Genomic DNA, 23,191 nt, shown 5'->3' with positions numbered 1-23,191 from the left:
GGCTCCGCCTTTTGCCCCGGAAGTACTCACAGCGGACGGTGGTTTTTGGGCCCGTTTCTGAGCAGCGCTTCCTTTTTGTCCGACATCTTGACGAGGCTGCGGTGTCTGCTGCTATTCTCCGAGCTTCGCAATGGTAAGCTTCAGGGGTGTGAAGTCGCCGGCGTTCTTGGGTTTGAGGACTCAGTGGGGAGAGCCTTCGGCGGGAGCGCTCCTTGGCCTGCCGGCCTCGGTTGCAGGGCGGGCGCGGTTATTGCTTGGCCCATGTGCTCTGGTGGTGGAGTTTGCGGGGGCTGAGGGCGCAGTATTAGGGGACTTTGGCGCTATTTGAGGACCTGGTTGCATTCCCGCTGCCCTCCTACAGCCGCCTAAGGACGACAAGAAGAAGAAGGACGCTGGAAAGTCGGCCAAGAAAGACAAAGACCCAGTGAACAAATCCGGGGGCAAGGCCAAAAAGAAGGTAGAAATAAGACCTCTCTGAAAGAGACTAGGGGTAACTCTCTCGTAATCCTCTAGTAATAGGTAACTTGTATAGTAAGTGGTTTTTCAGGTGTAGATTTCTAGAGTCAAAATGTGAGAGTTTATCTTCCCGTCACCACTCGTTCTTTTTCCCATTAGGATCATGAAAATGGGTCTGTTGTGCGAAGTGTCTGCCGCTGTGCCTGCTGTGTTATTTTTAACTGATCTAGTGGGGCTCGGCCCCTGTTTGAAGGCCAAAAACGTGTCGGTGTTTTTTTTTTGTTTTTGTTTTAGTAATGTGTAATTTATCCTTGATAACGGTGGAACAGATTTCTCTGACGCAGATTACTCGAGAGGGAAAGGGTGCTTCTGCCAGAAATACTAACTTGTTTCTGTTTTGTTTTGGTGAGCAGAAGTGGTCCAAAGGCAAAGTTCGGGACAAGCTCAATAACTTAGTCTTGTTTGACAAAGCTACCTATGATAAACTCTGTAAGGAAGTTCCCAACTATAAACTTATAACCCCAGCTGTGGTCTCTGAGAGACTGAAGATTCGAGGCTCCCTGGCCAGGGCAGCCCTTCAGGAGCTCCTTAGTAAAGGTGAGGGGTGTATCCTACATGTGTGTTTTTGTAGGTTAAATTGTCTTGACCATGTTAAGCATCTTCAGTGGTTTTGCTGGAAAAGCAGAATTAAAAAAAAAAAGCGTGGCTTGACCATTGGCTGTTAGTAATGTAATTCTGACGTCTTACTCCTGATCCTGAGATGAATTCTCAGGGTTCTTAGCCACTTTTGTGCCGTGGACCCTGTGGCAGTTTAGTGAAGCCCAAGGATCTTTTATGTTTCGAGTAAATGGATGCATAGAATTACAGGGACAACCGTTTTTGAAATAATTAGATTACTATTTTGAAACAACTTTGAAAATGTTTAAAACCTTTATGGTAAATATTTTGTTGATGTATTAAATTTTAAAACCAGAAATTTAGTACGGTCTACTCAGTAGTATGGTCTGATTACCATAATTCCACAATAATAAGGCTCAGCTAACTATAGTGACTGAACGTCTATAATTCTAGCACTTTGGGAGGCCAAGGCGGGTGAATCAACGGAGGTCAGGAGTTAAAGACCAGCCTGGCCAATATGGTGAAAACCTGCTCTACTGAAAGTTAGCTGGACGTGGGGGCACACGTCTGTAATCCCAGCTACTCAGGATGCTGAGGCATGAGGATCCCTTGAACCCAGGAGATGGAGGTGGCAGTGAGCCGAGATGACACCACTGCACTCCAGCCTTAGTGACAGCAAAAGACTGTCTCAGAAAGGGGGGGGGGGTGGAAGATAATGGAGCCCTAATTTAAAGGAAAAGTAAGGATAGATGATCGTTAAAAACTAGGATTCTCGGTTACCGAACGTCAGATTAAGCAATTCTGGAGCCAGGTGCAGTGGTACCCTTGTATTTCTAGCTACTTGGGAGGCCAAAGCAGGAGGATCATTTGAGCCAAGGAGTTTTAAGACCATTCTGGGCACCTCTGAGAGAACTCTGTCTTTTTGTTTTCCTTTTCTTTAAATAGAGATGCGGTTTTGCCATGTTGCCCAGGCTGGTCTCCTGGGCTCAAGAGATCCACCTGTCCAAAGTGCTGGGATTACAGGCATGAGCCTCTGCACCCGGCCAAAACAAACCTTACTAGAGTCTCATTCTGTTGCCCAGGTTGGAGTGCGGAGGGGCAGTCTTGGCTCAATGCAACCACCAATTCCTGGGTTCAGGTGGTCCTCACCTCAGCTTCCCAAGTAGCTGGAATTACAAGCATGTGCCACCATGCCCAGCTAATTTTTGTATTTTTGGTAGAGATGGGGTTTCACCTTGTTGGCCAGGCTGGTGTGCAACTCCTTACCTCAAGCTATCTGCCCGTCTCCACCTCCCAAAGCAGTGGGATTATAAGCATGAGCCACCGCGCCCAGCCAAAAACCTTACTAGTTTCTATTGTAGCATCTGTTAAGCATCTCATCGTGCTATTCTCTCCCCCTAGGACTTATCAAACTGGTTTCAAAGCACAGAGCTCAAGTAATTTACACCAGAAATACCAAGGGTGGAGATGCTCCAGCTGCTGGTGAAGATGCATGAATAGGTGAGTAGGAATGTGTGGGCTCATGGTGTAGGAGGTAGATACAAAGCTTTATGGTTCTGATTCTTTTAATTTTTTTTTACAGGTCCAACCAGCTGTACATTTGGAAAAATAAAACTTTATTAAATCAAATGAATGAGTATGTCTGTTTCCTAAGAAAGACAATGATAAAGAATTTGGTGGAAGGTATAATAGGGGTTTGTTGACTTTGCTTTTAGCCTCATGGTAGTTGGTAGAGAGCATGATTAGCTTTTTTCTGTATGTGACTGCTTCTTCATTGCTGCAGCTTCAGTTTTGAATTGATGTCTGAAAGGAAATAAAGGGTTAACACGATGATGAAGGGTGACATCTCCAAAAAGGAGGTTGGATGGGTAGGTTGGAGACCCGGCACTGAACACACATACCTGGACTGCCAGCGGCGTCCATTATTCCAGACGCGGCCAAAAGAGGGCAGCCAGCCTGCACTGGTCCTGGAGCTGTGATCAAAGTTGGCCCCAACTCGGTCTGGGGGGAGTTTTTTCAACTTCTGTTTTTCCTCTGTACAATGATAGGGAAACTTTTATTTTTCTTTATTGAAGAATATAGAGATGGGGTCTCACTATGTTGTCCAGGCTGTTTTCAAACTTCTGGGCTCAAGTGACCCTCCCACCTCAGCCTCCCAAAATGCTAGGATTATAGCCATGAGCCACCACACACAGGCAAGGAAACCATTTTTGAGTGTGAAGATTTAGACGATCCTCTCTTGAATTAGTTTACTTACTTTCTTTAAGAAATTCTTCATAGGATGGTCCTATTTCTTGGTTCCCAGCAATGTATTCTTCATCTTGGATCATCCAGGGAGGTGTGGCACCTGAAAAAAAAATTAAGGCTTTTTTTTTTTTTTTTAAGTCTTCAGGCTATTGTGAAACATGTCCTAGCTGTTAGCTTACCTCTCCTCATTAAGAGCTAGAAATGTCTAAAAGCAAAGCCCAGGAATTCTGGAGCTTTAGAAGGCCCTAGGCTAATTTAAAGCGACATACCCCATATGTGACAGTCATTTTAAAATGGCTTTGAGGCACAACTGACATAAACGATACACACTTAAATTTGGTGACTTTTGAGCGAAGCCATTACAATCTAGACCCCAAACATCCCCCTGTAAGTATCACTGCCCCCATTAAAATATTTTCATGTCCAGGCAATCGGTGATCTTTCAGTTGCTTTATTGGTTTGTATTTTTTAGGATTTTCTGTGTGTGGACATTGAGGTGGGGTCTGGCCTTTTGTTTTTTTGAGAGGAGTCTCGCTCTAGCCCAGGCTGGACACAATCTCAGCTCACTGCAACCTCCGCCTCCCAGGTCTCGGTTCAAACAATTCTGCCTCAGCCTCCCAAGTAGCTGGGATTACAGGCGTGCGCTGCGATGCCCAGCTAATTTTTGAATTTTTAGTAGAGATGGGGTTTCACCATGTTGGCCAAACTGGTCTTGAACTCCTGACCTCGTGATCCGCCTGCCTTGGCCTCCCAAAGTGTCGGGATTACAGGCATGAGCCACCACGCCGGCCAGGTCTGGACTTCTGAGATTCATCTGTGTCGTACGTATCAATAATTCTGTCTTCATCCTGGAATACTATTCCATTGTTAATCCATTTGCCTGTTGATAGACATCTGAATTGTTTCCAATTTGGAGCTGCTACAAGTGAAGCTGTTCTGAAGATTTGTGTACAAGTCTATGTAGACAGGCTTTCTTTTCTCTAGTTAGGGGTGGAACGGTTGGATAATGTGGTAGGTGTATCCCAAACTGTTTTCCAAAGTGACTGTACCAGTTTACATTCTAAGAGCAGTGTATGAAGGTTTGGTTTTTCTACACTGCCAAACACTTGGCATGATCAGTCTTTAATTTCTGCCATTCCAATACATATGTAGTGGTATTTCACTGTGGTTTTAATTTGCATTTCTCTAATGACTAATGTTGAACATTATTCATATGCTTTTATTGGGTTGTTTCCTTATCAAGTTGACAGTTCTTCATATATTCTGGATATAAGGCTTTTACCGATACATACGCTTTATCTTGGCCAACTTTATTTAAAAAAAAAAAAAAAGTCCGGGCACGGTGGCTCATGCCTGTAATCCCAGCACTTTGGGAGGCCGAGGCGGGTGGATCACGAGGTCAGGAGATCGAGACCATCCCGGCTAAAACGGTGAAACCCCGTCTCTACTGAAAATACAAAAAATTAGCTGGGCGTAGTGGCGGGCGCCTGTAGTCCCAGCTACTTGGGAGGCTGAGGCAGGAGAATGGCGTGAACCCGGGAGGCGGAGCTTGCAGTGAGCCGAGATCCCGCCACTGCACTCCAGCCTGGGCGACAGAGCGAGACTCCGTCTCAAAAAAAAAAAAAAAAAAATTAGCTGGGTGTGGTGGTGCACACCTGTAACCCCAGCTACTTGGGAGGCTGAGGCAGAAGAATCACTTGAACCTGAGAGGCAGAGGTTGCAGCGAGCTGAGATTGCGCCACTGCACTCCAGCCTGGCGACAGAACAAGACTCCATCTCAAAAAAAAAAAAAAATCTCCCAGGGTTTTAAAAACACTGCCCTGGACCTTACCTGAGTGGATGTTACCAACTCCTGGTATATCCTGTAGTTGGAAATGGGAAAAAAAGTGCTAGTTAAAGTCTAGGCATGATTAAAAAAAAAAATCCTAGAAACGATAGACAAAGCACACTTTAAAAGAGGTGGGTGTGACTGCTGCCACAATGCTAATTCTGCACCCCAGCTGATGTTAAACTTTGAAAGCACAGTAAGTCACTCTAAGACAACCCTGTCCTCAGGAAGCTCACAGTCATAACAGTGGAGATGTCTGTAAGTAGAGTGGCTATTACATGCCAGGGGAGCAAAACCTTGCCCTCACAGCATACATATAATTGGGGAAGAGCATTAAGCACAAGTTACGTAAATTACATTTGCAACTTTACATGGTGCTACATCCACTTGAAATAGAGATAACCTGTTCAGATAAGCCTTTTATGAAAAAGTGACATTTGAGCTAACAGTTGAAGGTAAACTAGGTGATGAGGGAAGGAAAGCAGGTTTTAGACAATGGCAACTGCAAAAGCCCGAAGCAACACAATACAGCTGAAGTGTAGAGTAAAATCATAAGTGGTACAATGATTTTCTGTTTGTGAGGCAGGATTGAAGGGGGAGTAGAAATTGCCCAAAGGCTGAATGGAGGCAGACAGGTTAAAATTGACCGCTTGTTGACAGGATATGGGAGATGGAAAAGGAAAGGATCTGCATCTAGTGATTGGAAATATAGGAGTGGTGGGGGTTAGTTTCAGATGCCTGTGGGATATTTAATGTCCTGTGTTGAGTTGGAACTATGAGTTCTACAGAGGGCAAGATTTAGGAGTTGGCACTCCTAAGTGTCAATACATGTGAATAGGATCGCTTTGGAGGGTGAGAAGAGGTCTGAGAACACTACTAGGGAACAGTGAAGGAAGAAGGAAAAGCCTGCAGTGGAGGCAGCAGTGGCTTGAATAGGTAGAAAATCAGGAGAAAGGGGTCCTGAGACCTGAGGGACCATTGGCCCTCTTCTGGCTTGCTTATCCTTTGTACCTGATGGCCAATGAATGTCAGAGATGGTCCTGTCTCCATCCAGTCAAGCTCTGGAGCTGGTGGCAGGTCCAAATTTGAGGGCTGCTGTAAGCTGGAAGCTACTTGGCTGAAAAACATGAGCCAGGCTGCCAGATGAGGTCCTTGAGCCATGAGGGTGGTAAAGATTAGATCTGTTTCCATTTCCCAGGCAAAAGGTTGCAGAATGTTCTAAGATGTCAAATTCCCAACAAGAGATTCCCTAATAGTCTTACCTGTTCATCCCTTTCCAGCTTCTAGGTGCTGAAGAGCCCTCTTCTGGGTCTGGCACTGCCTGAGGCTGAGTTTGATTCAGGAAAAATAAATGTGTCTGGGATGCTTAAGAGCCTGCCTAGGCCATGCCTCCACCCTCCAGACCCCAGTATCACAGGAAGGAAACAAATTAGCATATGGAAGGTACTGCCCATCTTTTACAGACTCTTCCCTCCCTCCCTCCCAGTCCTGTCCACATATTCACTGACTAGGCCTGCCCCCTGGCACACAGGTAAGGGAATTCAAGCCAAGCAGATGAGAATGCAGTCAGAGTTCTCTTAGAAGCACTGGTTCATGGCCGGGCACAGTGGCTCATGCTTGTAATTCCAGCAGGCTGAGGCGGGTGGATCACCTGAGGTCAGGAGTTCAAGACCAGCCTGGCCAACATGGTGAAACACCACCTCTATTAAAAATATAAAAATTAGCCAGGCGTGGTGGCGGCACCTGTAATCCCAGCTACTCGGGAGCCTGAGGCAGGAGAATCGCTTGAACCTGAACCTGGGAGGTGGAGGTTGCAGTGAGCCGAGATCGTGCCACTGCACTCCAGCCTGGGTGACACAGCGAAACTCTGTCTCCAAAAAAAAAAGAAGAAGAAGAAGCACTAGTCCATGAAATGCTGGACCTGGGAATGCCAGGGATCAGTGGATTTGGATACTGGTCTGGATCCTCCGAGGGAAACCAACCTCTAAGACAGACCGAACCACCTCCTGTCGGCTCTGCTCCACCTCACGGATCTGAGCTGCCATCTGTGGGAGAGAGGCTGCTTAGACAGGTACAGGATCATGGGGGCCAGTTTCTTCAGAGGCCTTTCCTTTAACTTGGGCCCTCCACCCCCAGGCGTGGACCAGTACTGGTCTGTGGCCTGTCAGGAAGCAGGCTGCAACAGCACTGCCGCCTGAGCTCCTGTCAGATCAGTGGTGGTGTTACATTCTCATAGGAGCACAAACACTATTGTGAACTGGGCATGCAAGGTATCTAGGTTGCGTGCTCCTTATGAGAATCTAGTGCCTGATGATCTGAGGTGGAGCAGTCTCATTCTGAAACCATCCCCTGCCTGGGTCCATCTGTGGAAAAACCGTCTTCCACGAAACCAGCCCCTGGTGCAAAAAGGGTGAGGGACTGCTACTTTAACTTACCTCCTTGATCACTTTATCCTCCTTTTCTTCATAGGAATCCAAACCTTTCACCATGGATTTCTTGAATCTAAAAAGAAAAGGGGCAAAACCACCCAGAACCCATTCCCCACCAGTTAAAACGAAAAGCTCCTCAGTAGATATTTTTTTAATTTTGAGAAATTCCAAATTCAGAAACAAAACAGTATAGTAAGCACCTATGTACCTCTCACCCAGAGTCCTTGTAAACATTTTGCCATACTGGCTCCACTTCTTTTGTACAGACACACGTCCTTTTTGCCAAAACAAAATAGGTTTAGACGTCAAACCCTATTTTCAACACACATCTCCCAAGAGGAGGAACATTCTATACAACCATGATACCATTACCACATTAAGAAAATTCTTCCTTTTAGTGTTCAAATATTTGGCTGGTTAGTATAGACATGGTTTACATGTCTTCAGACTTGAGTGTAGGCATACAGGCTATATTCACATTTCCCTCGTCTCAAAAACGTGCATTATGCCTTCTCTACTCTCACCTCCAATCCCAAAGTCCAACAAAAGATCACATGGAATCCAGCTATTAGGTCTCTAGTCTTCCCCTAGTCTGGAACAGTCTTACTGTTTCCATTACTTCACATCCTCAGAAGAATCCAGGCCAAATCTTGCATACTGTCCTAAATTTCTTTGTCTTTTTTTTGAGACGGGCTCGCTCTGTTGCCTAGGCTGGAGTGCAGTGGCACAACCTCAGCTCGCTGCAACCTCTGCTCAAGAGGCTCCCAGGCTCAAGAGATCCTCCTGCCTTAGCTTCCTGAGTAGGTAGGACTACAGGACAGCACCACTATGCCTGGCTAATTTTTGTGTTTTTTGTAGAAACAGGGTTTTGCCATGTCACCCATGCTGGTCTCGAACTCCTGGGCTCAAGCAATTCTCCTGCCTTGGCCTCCCAAAGAACTGGGATTACAGGCATCAGCCACTATGCCTGGCCTTAAATCAGTAATTTGTACTGTCACCTCCCTATTCAAATGCCTCCATTCCTTACTTGTATCTTCCTTTTGCCATAGTGAAAACCCTGGTTCTCAAAACCCTGGTTCTCAACACAAAGTTTCAGTATAATACCAATACCACTATCAACAGTGTTCCCTGAGAGCCTTGAATATATCCAAGGAGACAATGGCTTGAGCCACACCTTACCGAATTGTGGCTGAAAGGCTTGTTTAATCCTCCTGGAACACGAGGGTGGAAGGTCTGCCAGAAGCTGCTATGAGGCCATCTCCCACTTCCCTCCCCATCTCCCCTAGGAGGTTGTCATCAAATGGTTTCTCATCAACTCCCAGGTTCTGATGAGGTATGGGGCTTTCTGTTCCACCCCTCTCAGATTAAAATTGCAGAATATTAAGCCACTTAGTTTTAAAAAATCATTTAAGCCAGGCGCGGTGTGGCCCACGCCTGTAATCCCAGCACTTTGGGAGGCCGAGACGGGTGGATCAAGAGGCCAGGAGTTCAAGACCAGCCTGGCCAACATAGTGAAACCCTGTCTCTACAAAAACACAAAAAATTAGCCAGATGTGGTGGCAGGTGCCTGTAATCCCAGCTACTTGGGAGGCTGAGACGAGAATTGCTTGAACCTCGGAGGTGGAGGTTGCAGTGAGCCGAGATCGGGCCACTGCACTCCAGGCCAGTGACAGAGCAAGACTCTGTCTCAAAAATAATAATAAGTTGTAGGGAAAAGAAAGAAAGATCAGACTGTCACTGTGTCTATGTAGGAAGGAAAGACATAAGAGACTCCATTTTGAAAAAGACCTGTACTTTAAACAGTTGCTTTGCTGAGATGTTGTTGATTTGTAGCTTTGTCCCAGCCACTTTGACCCAGCCACTTTGACCCAACTTGGAGCTCACAAAAACATGTGTTGTATAAAATCAAGGTTTAAGGGACCTAGGGCTGTGTAGGACGTGCCTTGTTAACAAAATACTTACAAGCAGTACATCTGGTAAAGGTCATTGCCATTCTCTAGTCTCAATAAACCAGGGGCACAATGCACTGTGGAAAGCCGCAGGGACCTCTGCCCTTGAAAGCGGGGTATTGTCCAAGGTTTCTCTCCATGTGATAGTCTGAAATATGGCCTCGTGGGATGAGAAAGACCTGACTGTCTCCCAGCCCGACACCTGTAAAGGGTCTGTGCTGAGGTGGATTAGTAAAAGAGGAAAGCCTCTTGCAGGTGAGATGGAGGAAGGCCACTATCTCCTGCTTGCCCCTGGGAACTGAATGTCTCGGCTTAAAACCCGATTGTACATTTGTTCAACTCTGAGATGGGAGAAAAGCTGCCCTGTGGCGGGAGGCGAGACATGTTTACAGTGATACTGCCTTGTAGTCTTTACTCCACTGAGATGTTTGGGTGGAGAGAAACATAAGTCTGGCCTACGTGCACGTCCAGGCATAGTACTTTCCCTTGAACTTAATCGTGATATACATTCTTTTGCTCACATGTAATTTGTTGACCTTCTCCTTATTATCACCCTGCTGTCCTACTACATTCCTTTTTGCTGAAATAATGAAAAATAATAATCAATAAAAACTGAGGGAACTCAGAGGCCGGTGCCGGTGCAGGTCCTTGGTGTGCTGAGCACCAGTCCCCTGGACCCACCGTTGTTTCTTTATACTTTGTCTCTGTGTCTTATTTCTTTTCTCCGTCTCTCATCCCACCCGACTAGAAATACCCACAGGTGTGGAGGGGCAGGCCACCCCTTCAATAAGTAAAATTTAAAAACAACAAAAAAGCCACTTAGCTACTACAGTCTAGATTTGATTCCCCAGCAACAGAATATCCCACAACTCACACTGGGGTCATCCAGTCCTTTTTGTTTCAGTGTTGTCCTTTTTGGTGTATGAAACAAGGACCTGAGAAGCTGGCTCTTTGGTCTTCCTTTTCTTTTCACTGTCTATGTAAGAAACCATCTAAATCTAAAAGTGCCTCCTCCTATCTTTACCAGTCAAATCAACCAAACCTTGGAATTGCCTTGTGTGTGTATGTTTGACAATTTACAAGGTTCAAAAGTAAAAATTAGGCTGGGCACAGTGGCTCATGCCTGTAATCTCAACACTTTGGGATGCCAAAGTGGAAGGACTGCTTGAGCCCAGGAGTTTGAGACCAGCTCAGGCAACATAGTGACCCTGTCTCTACAAAAAATACAGAAATAGCCAGGTGTGATGGTGCACACTTATAGCCCTAGATACTTGGAAGGCTGGGGTGGGAGGATTGCTTGAGCCTGGGAGGTTGAGGCTGTAGTGAGCTGTCATTGTATCATGGCACTCCAGCTTGGACAACAGAGCAAGACTCCATCTCAAAATAAATAAATAAATAAATAAAAAGGCCAGATTAGGTGGTTCACATCTGTAATCCCAGCACTTTGGGAGGCCGAGGTGGGCGGATCATGAGGTCAGGAGTTTGAGACCAGCCTGACCAACATGCTGAAACCCCATCTCTATTGAAAGTACAAAAATGAGCCGGGCGTGGTGGCACGTGCCTGTAATCCCACCTACTTAGCAGGCTGAGGCAGGAGAATCACTTGAACCTGGGAGGCGGAGGTTGCAGTGAGCCAAGATCATGTCATTGCACTCCAGCCTGGGTGACAGAGCGAGACTCTCTCCAAAAAAAAGAAACGAAAAGAAAACTATATTTAGGTTGCCGGTATCTCCTGGCCACTGGCTGCCACTACAGTTCATTTATCTGGAACCTGGGCTCCTGAAGATGCAGCACTGGAGCAGAGAGATGATGTTGACAGGGTGTCTTAGTCCATTTTCACACTGTTGATAAAGACATACCCAAGACTGGGTAATTTACAAAGAAAAAGAGGTTTAATAGACTCACACAGTTCCATGTGGCCGGGGAGGCCTTATAATCACAGCAGAAGGTGAAAGGCATGTCTCATGGTGGCAGGCCAGAGAGAATGAAAACCAAGTGAAAGGGGAAACCCCTTATAAAATCATCAGATCATGTGAGACTTATTACCATGAGAACAGCATGGGGGAAAACGCCCCCATGATTCAGTTATCTCCCACTGGGTCCCTCCCACAACGTGGGAATTATGGGAGCTACAGTCAAAAAAATTTGGGTGGGGACACAGCTAAACCATATCACAGAGGTTGATGAATGACCCAGTCACATTAGAAATAGGTGGACTAAGCCAGGCGCAGTGGCTCACGCCTGTAATCCCAGTACTTTGGGAGGCCGAGGCGGGTGGATCACGAGGTCAAGAGATCGAGACCATCCTGGCCAACACGGTGAAACCCCATCTCTACTAAAAATACAAAAATTAGGCCGGGCATGGTGGCTTACGCCTGTAATCCCAGACTTTGGGAGGCCGAGGCAGGCGGATCACGAGGTCAGGAGATCAAGACCATCCTGGCTAACAAGGTGAAACCCCGTCTCTACTAAAAATACAAAAAATTAGCCAGGCATGGTGGCGGGCGCCTGTAGTCCCAGCTACTCAGGGAGGCTGAGGCAGGAGAATGGCGTGAACCCAGGAGGCGGAGCTTGCAGTGAGCCGAGATCGTACCACTGCACTCCAGCTTGGGTGACAGAACAAGACTCCATCTCAAAAAAAAAAAAAAAGGTTGGGTGTGGTGGCCTGTGCCTGTAGTCCCAGCTACTCAAGAGAATCGCTTGAACCTGGGAGGCAGAGGTTGCAGTCAACTGAGATCACGCCACTGTACTCCAGCCTGGCGACAGAGCAAGATTCCATCTCAAAAAAAAAAAAAAAAAAAAAAAAAAAAAATCCTGCCTACTCTGAAGGCCAAGGCAGGAGGATTGCTTGAGCCCTCAGGAGTTTGAGGCTGCAGTGAGCCATGATTGTACCGCTGCACTCCAGTCTGGGTGACAGAGCAAGACCCCATCTCAAAAAAAAAAAAAAAAAAGCATCTCAAATTATTTAACCAAATGGACTAAGCACATAATAATAATGGACTGTACAGACTGCCAGGTTTCTTTCCTATACTTTGTGCGATTATCACCAGGAAGTTTCTCTCTGGGTCTCATAATCCACAACACCTGAGTGTATCACATGAGTGTGCAGGACAATGAAGACACAGTGGAACACAACTAGACTTTCTGTAGACTAACCTGGAAGGCAGGTCTCTAATTTCCAAACCAGAAGTTCCTGGAAACTGAGTTCAAGGAAATAGAAGAAACTGATTAAAAAAAAAAAATTACAGTGTGGTTGAAGTCCAGAAATTTCTAGGCAGCTGGCTGGGCACAGTGGCTTGTCTGTAGTCCCAGCACTTTGGGAGGCTGAGGTGGGAGGATTGCCTGAGACCAGGAGTTTGAGACCAGAGGAAAAGAAAATGACAATGTGGAATTGTAAAAAAAAAAAATTTTTTTTTTTTTTGAGACGGGGTCTCACTCTATGTCGCCAGGCTGGAGTGCAGTGGCATGATCTCGGCTCACTGCAAGCTCCACCTCCTGGGTTCACGCCATTCTCCTGCCTCAGCCTCCCAAGTAGCTGGGACTACACACACCCACCACCTCGTCTGGGTAATTTTTTGTATATTTAGTAGAGACGGGGTTTCACCGTGTTAGCCAGGATGGTCTCGATCTCCTGACCTCGTGATCTGCTGGCCTTGGCCTCCCAAAGTGCTGGGATTACAGGCATGAGCCATCGTGCCCGGCCAAAAATTTTTATTTATTTGAGGACCAGAGAGAAGTTTTGTGCTTTAGCAGACTCCTCCGTGTTTTCTTCTTTTCACCCTGTTCAAAGTTTCCAGGTATTGGCTTTTTTTTTCTTGCTGTTTTTGAGACAGGGTATTTTGCTCTGTTGCCCAGGCTAGAGTGCAGTGGTGTGATCACAGCTCACTCCTGCCTCAACCTTGTGAGCTTAAGCAATCCTCCTGCCTCAGCCTCCCCAGTAGCTAGCACTACAGGCAAATGTCACCATGCTTGGCTAATATAATTTTTTTTTTTTAGAGATGGGGTTTCACTATGTTGTTCAGGCTGGTCTTAAACTCCTGGGCTCAAATGATCCTCTGTCTCAGCCTCCAAAAGTGCTGGAATTACAGTCATGAGCCACTGCAACTGAATTGCCTTTTTTTTTTTAAAGAGACATTCTTGCTATGCTGCCCAGCTGGAGTGTAGTGGTGGGATCACAGCTCACTGCAGGTTCAACCTCCTGGGCTCAAGTGATCCCTCAGGCTCAGGTGATCCCCCTGCCTTAGCCTCCAGAGTAAGTAGGACTATAGGCTAGCCTCCAGAGTAGGTAGGACTATATGCCCAGCTAATCCAGATACCCTTTTTATTAAAAATCTGAAAATCAGGCTGGGACCAGTGGCTCACACCTGTAATTGCAGCACTTTGGGAGGACAAGGTGGGTGGATCATGAGGTCAGGAGTTCGAGACCAGCATGGCCAATATGGTGAAACCCCATCTCTACTAAAAATACAAAAATTAGCTGGGCATGGTGGCGCATGCCTATAGTCCCAGCTACTCGGGAGGCTGAGGCAGAAGAATCACTTGAACCCAGGAGGCGGAGGTTGCAGTAAGCTGAGATCGTGCCACTGCACTCCAGCCTGGGCAACAGAGCAAGACTCTGTCTCAAAAAAAAAAAATCTGAAAATCATTATGGTATGTCATCTACCCTTATTATAATGCTAAAATGATTTCTGATAAAATAGTTCCTAACTCAACTAGAAAACTATAAAGAATGAAAGAATGAGCAGAGTACTCATGATGCCTTTGAGTAAAATCGAAACATCATAGAGCGTGATCTAATTTCCAAATCAATAGGCAGTATTGTAACATTAAAGGAAAGCTATTCCAATCACTTAGAAATACTTGCTAAGTACTGCTTTTTACAGTTATGACAACTGTTTCTATGCATATGAACCAAGCAACCAAATATCTATAACCATGGAAATATCTGATTAGAAATATTTCTAATTTGGGCCGGGCTCGGTGGCTCACGCCTATAATCCCAGCACTTTGGGAGGCCAAGGCAGGCGGATCACCTGAGGTCGGGAGTTCGAGACCAGCCTGACCAATATGGTAAAACCCCATCTCTACTACAATTACAAAAATTAGCCAGGTGTGGTGGCATGCACCTGTAGTTCCAGCTACTCGGAAGGCTGAGGCAGGAGAATCGCTTGAACTCAGGAGGTGGAGGTTGCAGTGAGCCAAGATCATGCCACTCCAGCCTGGGCAACAGAACAAGACTCTGTCTCCCAAAAAAAAAAAAAAAAAAGAGAGAGAAATATTTCTAATTATTGGCCGGGTGCAGTGGCTCACGCCTGTAATCCCAGCACTTTGGGAAGCCAAGGTGGGTAGATCATTTGAGGTCAGGAGTTCGAGACCAGTTTGGCCAACATGGTGACACCCTATCTCTACGAAAAATACAAAAATCAGCCCCTTTTCACAAGATGGCACCAAAAGCTAAGAAGGAAGCTCCTGCCCCTCCTAAAGCCAAAGCAAGGCTCTGAAGGCCAAGAAGGCAGTGTTGAAAGGTGTCCACAGCCACAAAAAAAAGAAGATCCGCGTATCACTAGCCTTCTGGCGGCCCAAGACATTGCGACTCCGGAGGCAGTGCAAATATCTTAAGAGCACCCCCAGGAGAAACAAGCTTGACCACTATGCATCATCAAGTTTCCTCTGACCACTGAGTCTCCATGAAGAAGACAGAAGACACACGCACTTGTGTTCACTGTGAATGTTAAGCCACAGCACCAGAGAAGCTCTATGACACTGATGTGGCCAAGGTCAACACCCTGATTCGGCCTGATGGAGAGAAGGAACATGTTCGACTGGCTCCTGATTACAATGCTTTGGATGTTGCCAACAAAATAGGGATCATCTCAACTGAGTCCAGTTGGCTAATTCTAAATATATGTATATCTTTTCACCATTAAAAAAAAAATTATCAAGGCATGGTGGCGCATGCCTGTAATACCAGCTACTCAGGAGGCTGAGGCAGGAGAATTGCTTGAACCTGTGAGGCGGAGGTTGCAGTGAGCCGAGATCACGCAGCTGCCCTCCAGCCTGGACAACAGAGCGAGACTCCATCTTGAAAAAAAACCTGAAATATTTCTATTGGATTCTGAATACAAAATTTCGCATGGGAGAAATCTTACTTCTTATGCCTGTTACAGTATAATTCCCAAATGTACCATCAGAAAAAAAAAAAAAAACCAACAGCTTATTTTTAAAAGTATACATAGAAATCTTGTTTCTAGGCCGGGTGTGGTGGCTCATGCCTGTAATCCTAGCACTTTGGGAAGCCGAGTCAGGTGGATCACTTGAGGTCAGGAGTTCAAGACCAGCCTGGCCAACATGGTGAAACCCCATCTTTACTAAAATACAAAAATTAGTCAGGCGTAGTGGCACAAGCCTGTAATTCCACCTACTCTGGAAGCTGAGATGGGAGAACTGCTTGAACCTGGGAGGTGGAGGTTGCAGTGAGCTGAGATTGTGCCACTGCACTCCAGCCTGGGCAACAGAGTGAGACTGTCCAAAAAAAAAAAAAAAAATCTTTTTTCTATTCCTATCAACTCTAAACATTTTTACTGACCCACAAACTGGGTCACACCAACTGGTTACACTAACTGATATGTGATCAGTTTCTTTTTTTTTTTTTTTTTTTTTTTTGAGACAGAGTTTTGCTCTTGTTGCCCAGGCTGCAGTGCAATGGCATGATCTTGGCTCAGTACAATCTCTGCCTCCTGGGCTCAAGCGATTTTCCTGCCTCACCCTCCCGAGTAGCTGGGATTACAGGCACAAACCAACACGCCCAGCTATTTTTTGTATTTTTAGTAGGGATGGGGTTTCACCATGTTGACCAAGCTGGTCTCGAACTCCTGACCTCAAATGATCCTCCCACCTCGGCCTCCCAAAGTGCTGGGATTACAGGTGTCAGCCACTGAGCATGGCCATGTGATCAATTTCATTAACTTCTCTAAAAAAAAATTCGTATTTCTTTTTAGAGATGGGGTCTTGATACACTGCCCAGGATGGCCTCAAACTCCTGGGCTCAAGCTATCCTCTTACCTCAGCCTCCTGAGTAGCTAGGACTACAGGTGTGCACCACCACATCTGGCAGTTTCATTAGTTTCTTGATTATCCTTTAGGCATTCCTTTTTGAGAAAATAAGCAAATACAGTTGACTCTTGCACAGCACAAGTTTGAACTGCACGAGTTCACTTGAAAATTTTTTTGGAGATTTGCAACAATTTGAAAAAACTTGCAGATGAACCACATAGCCTAGAAATATGGAAAAAATTAAAAAGGTATGTCATGAATGCATAAAATATATGTAGATACTAGTCTTTTATGATTTACTACCATAAAATACACAAATCCAGGCTGAAACGGGAGAATCGCTTGAACCCGGGAGGCAGAGGTTGCAGTGAGCCGAGATCGCACCACTGTACTCCACCCTGGGTGACAAAGCAAAACTCCCTCTCCAAAAAAAAAAAGTTAAAATTTATCAAAACTTACACACAGAAACACAGACTGTACATGGTGACATTCGCGGTCAAGAGAAATGAAAATAAATGTAAAGATGCAATATTACATAACTGTATAAAATTATAATCCAAACTACAACTGTCACAATTTTGTAGCCACCTATTGCAGTGAACTCAAGTGTTGTATCTGCTTAAAACACAGTAATGCTGATCATCTTGTAAGCAGTTGTCTCACCAGTAAATTGCATATTACAGTAAAAGTGATCACTCATGGTTCCTGCATATTTTTCAGTAATGTCATACCATTAACCTCAAATAGTAACGTGGGACCTATAGGAGGTGCCACTAGTGATGCCTGAAGCACTCCAAAGAAGCAGAGAAAAGTCATGACATTACAAGAAAAAGCTGAATTGTTTGATATGTACTGTAGATTAGGATCTACAGCTGCAGTTGCCCAGCATTTCAAGATAAATGAATCCATGCACATTGACAAAATCTATGTGGAAAAAAAAGGGTGAGGGGTAAGCATGGTGGCTCACTTTGGAAGGCTGAGGCAGGCGGATTGCTTGAGCCCAGAAGTTCGAGACCAGCCTGGGCAACATAGCAAAACCCCATCTCAATTTAAAAAAAAGAATTTTTTTTTTCCTTTTGAGACAGAGTTTCGATCTTTTGCCCAGGCTGGAGTGAAGTGGTGCGATCTCGGCTCACTGCAACCTCTGCCTCGCCAGGTTCAAGCGATTCTCCTGTCTCAACCTCCTGAGTATCTGGGATTATAGGCACCCACCACCACACCCAGCTAATTTTTGTATTTTTAGTAGAGACAGGGTTTTGCCGTGTTGGCCAGGCTGGTCTCAAACTCCTGACTTCACATGAGCCACCATGCCTGGACAAAAAAAATTTTTTTTTAAAGGCAAAGAAAAAAATAACTAAATCCAGCCTAAGGAACACTGTAAAAAAAAAAAAAAAAAAGGAAATTCATGAAGCTATCACTGCACCTATGCCAGGAGGCATGAAAACCCTGCATGCTTTGCACAATACCTTTTTATCTTCATATTGAAAACACAGCTTTTATGTGGGTACAGGGTTGTTATTAGAAAGTCCTACCTACAGCTTCTAATAGGATTCAAGAAAAAGCAAAATCATTACATGACAACTTAAAGCGAAAGGAAGGTGAAGGATCTAAAGCTGGATAATTTAATGTCGGCAAAGGATGGTTTGATAATTTTAGAAAGAAGGTTGGCTTAAAATATGTCAAAATAGCAGAAGGGGCAGCTTCTGCCAACCAAGAGGCAGCAGATGAATTCCCAGATACCATTAAGAAAATCATTGAGACCAGGCATGGTGGCTCACGTCTATAACCCCAGCACTTTGGGAGGCCAAGGCGGGTGAGTCACCTCAAGTCAGGAGTTAGTGACCAACTTGGCCAACATGGTGAAATCCCATCTCTACTAAAAATACAAAAATTGGCCGGGCGCGGTGGCTCACGCCTGTAATCCCAGCACTTTAGGAGGCCAAGGTGGGCGGATCAGGAGGTCAGGAGATCGAGACCATCCTGGCTAACACGGTGAAACCCCGTCTCTACTAAAAATACAAAAAATTAGCCGGGCGTGGTGGCAGGCGCCTGTAGTCCCAGCTACTCAGGAGTCTGAGGCAGGAGAATGGCGCGAACCCAGGAGGCAGAGCTTGCAGTGAGCGGAGATCGCGCCACTGCACTCCAGCCTGGGCAACAGAGCGAAAAATAAAAAGAAAAAGAAAAAAAGAAAAAAACGTAAAAACAAAAATTAGCCAGGTGTGGTGGTTTGCGCCTGTAATCCCAGCTACTTGGGAGGCTGAGGCAAGAGAATCACTTGAATCCAGGAGGCTGAAATTGCAGTGGGCTGAGATTGTGCCATTGCACTCCAGCCTGGGCGAAAAGAGCAAAACTCTGTCTCAAAAGAAAAGATAAAATAAAATAGAGTCCAAAACTATTAAAAGTAGGTACTGGCTGAGCAGCAGTTTCTTACAAACTATAAACAGCCTCTTCTAACGTTAGTATTCTCGGTGCCTCATATTTAAGTAGTTGATAACAGTCAACTTTTAGTATTGTTCTCTATTTGCTAAATCCTATCCCCCAACTAAACCTCAAGAACTGTCACATTTTTGTGTCCAATATAGTACCTAGAATAAGAAGTGCTATGAAGACAGCAGATTCTTCGTAAGTCCCTCCTGAACTTTCCAGTTAATAGAGTAAGCTCCCATACCTGACAAAGATCCAGAGAATTCACTCTGCTACTTCACGTTCCATACCAGTGACTCACCGCGCATAATCCTGGGGAGTGACCAGAAACTTCTCTTTCATCTGGACCTCAGCTTTGTTCTCCCACCAGAATTTGTTGGTTGCTTTCTTGTGCTCTGGGCTGAAAATGGAGAGGATAAGTAATCTCAGCTATAGATTATAAAATATTACTCAGATATTAAGCATTAGGTTTGTAATGCAAACTGACATCTGGGTTTCTGCCTGGGGCACGGCTGAGAGAGGAACACTGTTACCATCTCTTCAAGATCTCGTGTCTCTTCTTCCCATAAAATTGTGAGAATCTGAGGGGAGGTTAGGGGCGGTAACCAAGCGGGCTCTCGCAGCCAGACCACCAGCACCACTTGGGACCGTGGCAGCATATGACCCCTACCCTAACAAGGCTGGCAAAACCTGTGAAGTGACTCAATCCATCCTTCTTGATCAAATCACAAAAGCGTCCTTTTTCTCACCCACCCCAAACCCTCCTCCCGTATATGTATGCGTCTGTGCTGGAGCAGGCTCCTAGCTCGGCTCTCACCTGGCCAGATGCTCCAGCAGCCCCCCGTACAGCACCGTCAGGTTTCCATGGCTCAGGTGTTCCCGCACCTCACAGCCGCAGCACAGGCACCAGCAGCATCGCTCGTGTTCGGGCACATAGCGCTCCACCTGAGCGGCGCGGATGGCCTTGCGGGCCGCCTCCACCTGCCGCAGAGAGGCCAAGTAGAACCCCGAGGGGGACCCCCAAATCACACCCGCTCTGGCCTTCACTGACCTGCCCCGCACTCCCATCCCATCTCTAGCCTTGCCTCCGCACCTGGGGCAGGAGCCTCTCCAAAGCCTCCTTCAGCTGCCGCTGGTGCTTGCGGCTGTAAACGTGCCCGCGACCACAGAAGAAGGTCTGGCGGCACAGAGGGCAGCGCTGCGCCGGCGCCATAGCCCGGGTACCCGGTATCACCACCACCAGCGGCCGATCCTACGCCATCCGGCGGCCTCTGACCCTGACCCCTCGGGGTGGGGCTAACCCGGCGGCTCCCGCGGCCCTCAGCGCCCGGCAGGCGCCACTGCAAGCCCTTCTGCGGCTGCGCAGACTCCTCCCGGGCCTCTAGTCCCGCCCAGGCAACAACATCCCAGAGCTGGGCGGGTTAAGGAGGAGGATGGCGCCGTCCTGCAGATGTGCGGGGACGCGCGCCCGCCGCAACGTGAGGCTCATAGGCCACACGCAACTCTGAGCATTGGCCAGGACCTGTAGTAGCCAACAGGACACTTAATAACTGATGTATAGGTGCGCACTGTGTGTCCAGAGCTTTACGTTAACCACCTCACTGTGTCATCTCGCTGAGGTTGTGTGGTTTACTATTACTGCTATTAGCGCATTTTTAAGCGGGAAACCTGAGGCATGAGGAGGTAAGGAGCTTTGAGGAGGGTTGCACGGGTGTTAAGTAGCGCGGTCAGCACCTGATCCCCGTCACTCATCAGTACGGCGGTTGGAGGGGAATGCCTGCTGGAGGGGACCACGAACTAAACTCAATCGCCCCCACAGGGTGTGCTCGCCGTGGTTCCTATAAAGCTGTAAGGGAGGCTACACAGCGTGCAGCGTTGTTGCTGAGGGATCGCACACTTCCCGTAGATTTTGTTGCTAGTTCTGGTGCACTAACGTGGATGGACTGCTTGCTGTCTGTAGGGCCTGCCCACGGTCAGCGCTACAGAATTCAGGCCCGGCGTAGCTACTTCCAACCCTTCAGATCTTCACTTCCTGTTGGAACTGTCCTCTAGACTGTAGCCTCTGCCAGAAATAATTCATTTTGAATACCCTTGTAACACCCAATTCCTTGATCTCCTATCATTCCCCTGGCAGGGTCAGTCCTCGACCTTGTCCCCCCAAATTGCTTCGTCTCTGAATCCAGACTCTGAAGTTCGGCTCTGCCTACCACCTTAAGTTATCCGATGTGGCCTTACCGTCAGCCTAGTCTTTGACTACAGGAAGACCTCTCTTCCTGAAGAAGACGCCTCTTTTCATCCATTCACTCTGGAAATGATTCAACGTCTGCCTGCTGCTGATGCTTTACTCTCCACCAGGGGTTTTCGAAGTGTGCTTCCCCATTCCCCCTGGGCCTATAGCATCAGCATCAGGGAACTTGTCAGTAACGCACATTCTTGGGCCCCAACCCAGAACTACTGAATCAGAAACTTGGGGTGAGGGCCTGTCGTGGTGGCTCATGCCTGTAATCCCAACACTTTGGGAAGCAGAGGAGGGTGGATCACCTGAGGTCAGGAGTTGAGGACCAGCCTGGCTAACATGGTGAAACCCCGTCTCTACTAAAAATAGAAAAATTAGCCAGATGTGGTGGCGTGTGCCCATAATCCTAGCTACTCGGGAGACTGAGGCAGGAGACTCGCTTGAACCCAAGAGGCGGAGGTTGCAGTGAGCCAAGATTGCACCACTGCACTCTAGCCTGGGCGACAGAGTGAGACTCCGTCTCAAAAAAAAAAAAAGAACTCAGGGTGAGGCCCAGCCGGCTGTGGTTTTATGAGCTTTTCAGGGGATACTGATGCGGGATCAAATTTGAGAAGCACTGGTCTAGGTCTTAGATCCTCTTGCTTCAGTTTCGTCATTGGATCTCAGGAATGTTCAGCTGCCCTCTCAAGGCAACTTCTTACTTCACTTGACCTTCCAAGACCTCTCGTTCTGTCAAACCCCAATTTTGGATCAACCCAGGCATGCTTCCCTCATGTGTTCCAAAGCTGGTCAGAGTAGTCTACACCACTATCTGCTTCAACTTCTAGTAACGTCTAAGCCTTCAGCAGTTTTGCTTATGAAACTGCTTCACTGAAGTTCTCCACCACCAAGTAGTCAGCTGGCATCGGAATTCGGCTTGTGTCAAATGGAACTCAACATCTTCCTCTTCAGGACATCCCCTATTTTCATCCTCCCAGTGAATGACACCACCAAGTTAAAGCCTGGAGGCTGGGTGTAGTGGTTCATGCCTGTAATCCCAGTAGTTTAGGAAACCGAGGTGGGCAGATGGCTTGCGCCCAGGTGTTTGAGAGCAGCCTGGCCAACATGGCGAAACCCTGTCTCTACAAAAAAGTACTGCCAGGCGCGGTGGCTTACGCCTGTAATCCCAGCACTTTGGGAGGCTAAGCAGGCAGATCACCTCAGGTCAGGAGTTCAAGACCAGGCTGGGCCAACATGGCAAAACCCCATCTCTACTAAAAATACAAAAATTAGCCTGGTGTGGTGGCATGTGTCTAGTCCCAGCTACTCGAGAGGCTGAGGCAGGGGAACTGCTTGAACCCAGGAGGCGGGGGTTGCACTGAACCTGTTGCGCCACTGCATTCCAGCCTGGGTGGCAGAGCAAGACTCTTATCTCAAAAACAACCAAACACAAAACAAAAATTAGCTGGGTCTGGTGACATGTGCTTATAGTCCCAGCTACTTGGGGGGCTGAGGCAGGAGGATTGCTTGAGCCTGGGAGGTTGAGGCTGCAGCAATGAGCTGTGTTTGTGCCACTGCACTCTAGCCTGGACAACAAAATGAGACCTTGTCTCAAAAAGAAAAAAAAAAAGCAGGGTGCAGTGGCTGACGCCTGTAATCCCAGCACTTTGGGAGGCCGAGGCGGGCGGATCAGAAGGTCAGGAGATCGAGACCATCCTGGCTAACAAGGTGAAACCCTATCTTTACTAAAAATACAAAAACTTAGTCGGGTGTGGTGGCACGCACCTGTAGTACCAACTACTCAGGAGGCTTAGGCTGGAGAATCGCTTGAACCCAGGAGGTGGAGGTTGCAGTGAGCCGAGATTGCGCCACTGCACTCCAGCCTGCCAGCCTGGGCAACAGAGCGAGATTCTGTCTCAAAAAACAAAAACAAAAAAACCCAGAATAACTCACCCCAAACTTCCAGGTTTTT

The 23,191-nt window shown here is 46.9% G+C and overlaps 2 protein-coding genes, 1 long non-coding RNA gene and 1 pseudogene across 7 annotated transcripts, besides 11 other annotated features; 3 read left to right on the top strand and 1 right to left on the bottom strand.

The window, feature by feature from the left end:
* Nucleotides 31-260: an enhancer, noted in NCBI's record as "active region_5616". NCBI's record gives its function as "activates an Ori minimal core promoter by ATAC-STARR-seq in GM12878 lymphoblastoid cells {active_cell/tissue: GM12878}" and the evidence as "EXISTENCE:reporter gene assay evidence [ECO:0000049][PMID:35858748]".
* RPS25 (ribosomal protein S25) lies at nt 72-2,698 on the top strand. The gene is made up of 5 exons (NM_001028.3): nt 72-133; nt 362-457; nt 870-1,053; nt 2,476-2,574; nt 2,657-2,698. The coding sequence occupies exons 1-4, from the start codon at nt 131-133 to the stop codon at nt 2,568-2,570; spliced, it is 378 nt and encodes a 125-aa protein (NP_001019.1). The 5' UTR covers nt 72-130; the 3' UTR covers nt 2,571-2,574; nt 2,657-2,698.
* Nucleotides 281-350: an enhancer, noted in NCBI's record as "active region_5615". NCBI's record gives its function as "activates an Ori minimal core promoter by ATAC-STARR-seq in GM12878 lymphoblastoid cells {active_cell/tissue: GM12878}" and the evidence as "EXISTENCE:reporter gene assay evidence [ECO:0000049][PMID:35858748]".
* Nucleotides 2,622-20,277, bottom strand: CENATAC (centrosomal AT-AC splicing factor). 4 transcript variants are annotated; one of them, NR_104051.2, is made up of 11 exons: nt 20,098-20,277; nt 19,822-19,985; nt 19,306-19,404; nt 16,590-16,802; nt 7,585-7,651; nt 7,104-7,194; nt 6,412-6,476; nt 6,161-6,266; nt 3,332-3,421; nt 2,976-3,108; nt 2,622-2,877 (listed from the first exon to the last, which is right to left on the bottom strand). NR_104051.2 is itself a non-coding variant. In NM_198489.3 (11 exons), exons 1-11 carry the CDS (start codon nt 20,215-20,217, stop codon nt 2,817-2,819), a joined length of 999 nt encoding a protein of 332 aa, NP_940891.1. In that variant the 5' UTR covers nt 20,218-20,277; the 3' UTR covers nt 2,622-2,816. The 4 variants fall into 4 exon arrangements, 1 of the variants encoding a protein (NP_940891.1); NR_104050.2 differs by lacking the exon at nt 16,590-16,802 and adding an exon at nt 5,153-5,183 and having other exon boundaries at nt 2,976-3,127; NR_104049.2 differs by lacking the exon at nt 16,590-16,802 and adding an exon at nt 5,153-5,183.
* Nucleotides 14,822-15,462, top strand: RPL23AP64 (ribosomal protein L23a pseudogene 64; annotated as a pseudogene). Its single transcript, NR_003040.2, has one exon. The product of NR_003040.2 is annotated as a ribosomal protein L23a pseudogene 64 (transcript).
* Nucleotides 18,713-19,912: an enhancer, noted in NCBI's record as "CDK7 strongly-dependent group 2 enhancer chr11:118869213-118870412 (GRCh37/hg19 assembly coordinates)". NCBI's record gives its function as "activates an origin of replication core promoter dependent on BRD2, BRD4, P300/CBP, MED14 and CDK7 cofactors, with strong dependence on CDK7, by STARR-seq in HCT116 cells {active_cell/tissue: HCT116}" and the evidence as "EXISTENCE:reporter gene assay evidence [ECO:0000049][PMID:35650434]".
* Nucleotides 18,713-20,308: a biological region, named in NCBI's record as "CDK7 strongly-dependent group 2 enhancer GRCh37_chr11:118869213-118870412".
* Nucleotides 19,142-19,436: an enhancer, noted in NCBI's record as "tiled region #14267; HepG2 Activating DNase unmatched - State 1:Tss". NCBI's record gives its function as "activates a minimal TATA promoter and a strong SV40 promoter by Sharpr-MPRA in HepG2 cells {active_cell/tissue: HepG2}" and the evidence as "EXISTENCE:reporter gene assay evidence [ECO:0000049][PMID:27701403]".
* Nucleotides 19,257-19,782: an enhancer, noted in NCBI's record as "H3K27ac hESC enhancer chr11:118869343-118869868 (GRCh37/hg19 assembly coordinates)". NCBI's record gives its function as "activates a minimal SCP1, AML or CMV promoter by ChIP-STARR-seq in primed H9 embryonic stem cells {active_cell/tissue: H9 hESC(primed)}" and the evidence as "EXISTENCE:reporter gene assay evidence [ECO:0000049][PMID:30033119]".
* Nucleotides 19,783-20,308: an enhancer, noted in NCBI's record as "H3K27ac hESC enhancer chr11:118868817-118869342 (GRCh37/hg19 assembly coordinates)". NCBI's record gives its function as "activates a minimal SCP1, AML or CMV promoter by ChIP-STARR-seq in primed H9 embryonic stem cells {active_cell/tissue: H9 hESC(primed)}" and the evidence as "EXISTENCE:reporter gene assay evidence [ECO:0000049][PMID:30033119]".
* Nucleotides 20,232-20,421: a silencer, noted in NCBI's record as "silent region_3960". NCBI's record gives its function as "represses an Ori minimal core promoter by ATAC-STARR-seq in GM12878 lymphoblastoid cells {active_cell/tissue: GM12878}" and the evidence as "EXISTENCE:reporter gene assay evidence [ECO:0000049][PMID:35858748]".
* Nucleotides 20,232-20,834: a biological region, named in NCBI's record as "H3K27ac hESC enhancer GRCh37_chr11:118868291-118868816".
* Nucleotides 20,309-20,834: an enhancer, noted in NCBI's record as "H3K27ac hESC enhancer chr11:118868291-118868816 (GRCh37/hg19 assembly coordinates)". NCBI's record gives its function as "activates a minimal SCP1, AML or CMV promoter by ChIP-STARR-seq in primed H9 embryonic stem cells {active_cell/tissue: H9 hESC(primed)}" and the evidence as "EXISTENCE:reporter gene assay evidence [ECO:0000049][PMID:30033119]".
* CENATAC-DT (CENATAC divergent transcript) lies at nt 20,413-21,614 on the top strand. The gene is made up of 2 exons (NR_186355.1): nt 20,413-20,687; nt 21,139-21,614. It is a non-coding gene; the product is annotated as a CENATAC divergent transcript (long non-coding RNA).
* Nucleotides 21,012-21,101: an enhancer, noted in NCBI's record as "active region_5614". NCBI's record gives its function as "activates an Ori minimal core promoter by ATAC-STARR-seq in GM12878 lymphoblastoid cells {active_cell/tissue: GM12878}" and the evidence as "EXISTENCE:reporter gene assay evidence [ECO:0000049][PMID:35858748]".

Source organism: Homo sapiens, chromosome 11, assembly GCF_000001405.40.
Source record: "Homo sapiens chromosome 11, GRCh38.p14 Primary Assembly".
Lineage (NCBI taxonomy): Eukaryota > Metazoa > Chordata > Mammalia > Primates > Hominidae > Homo > Homo sapiens.
The sequence above is the reverse complement of the archived record's forward strand: the minus strand, read 5'-3'. Positions and strand labels throughout refer to the sequence as shown.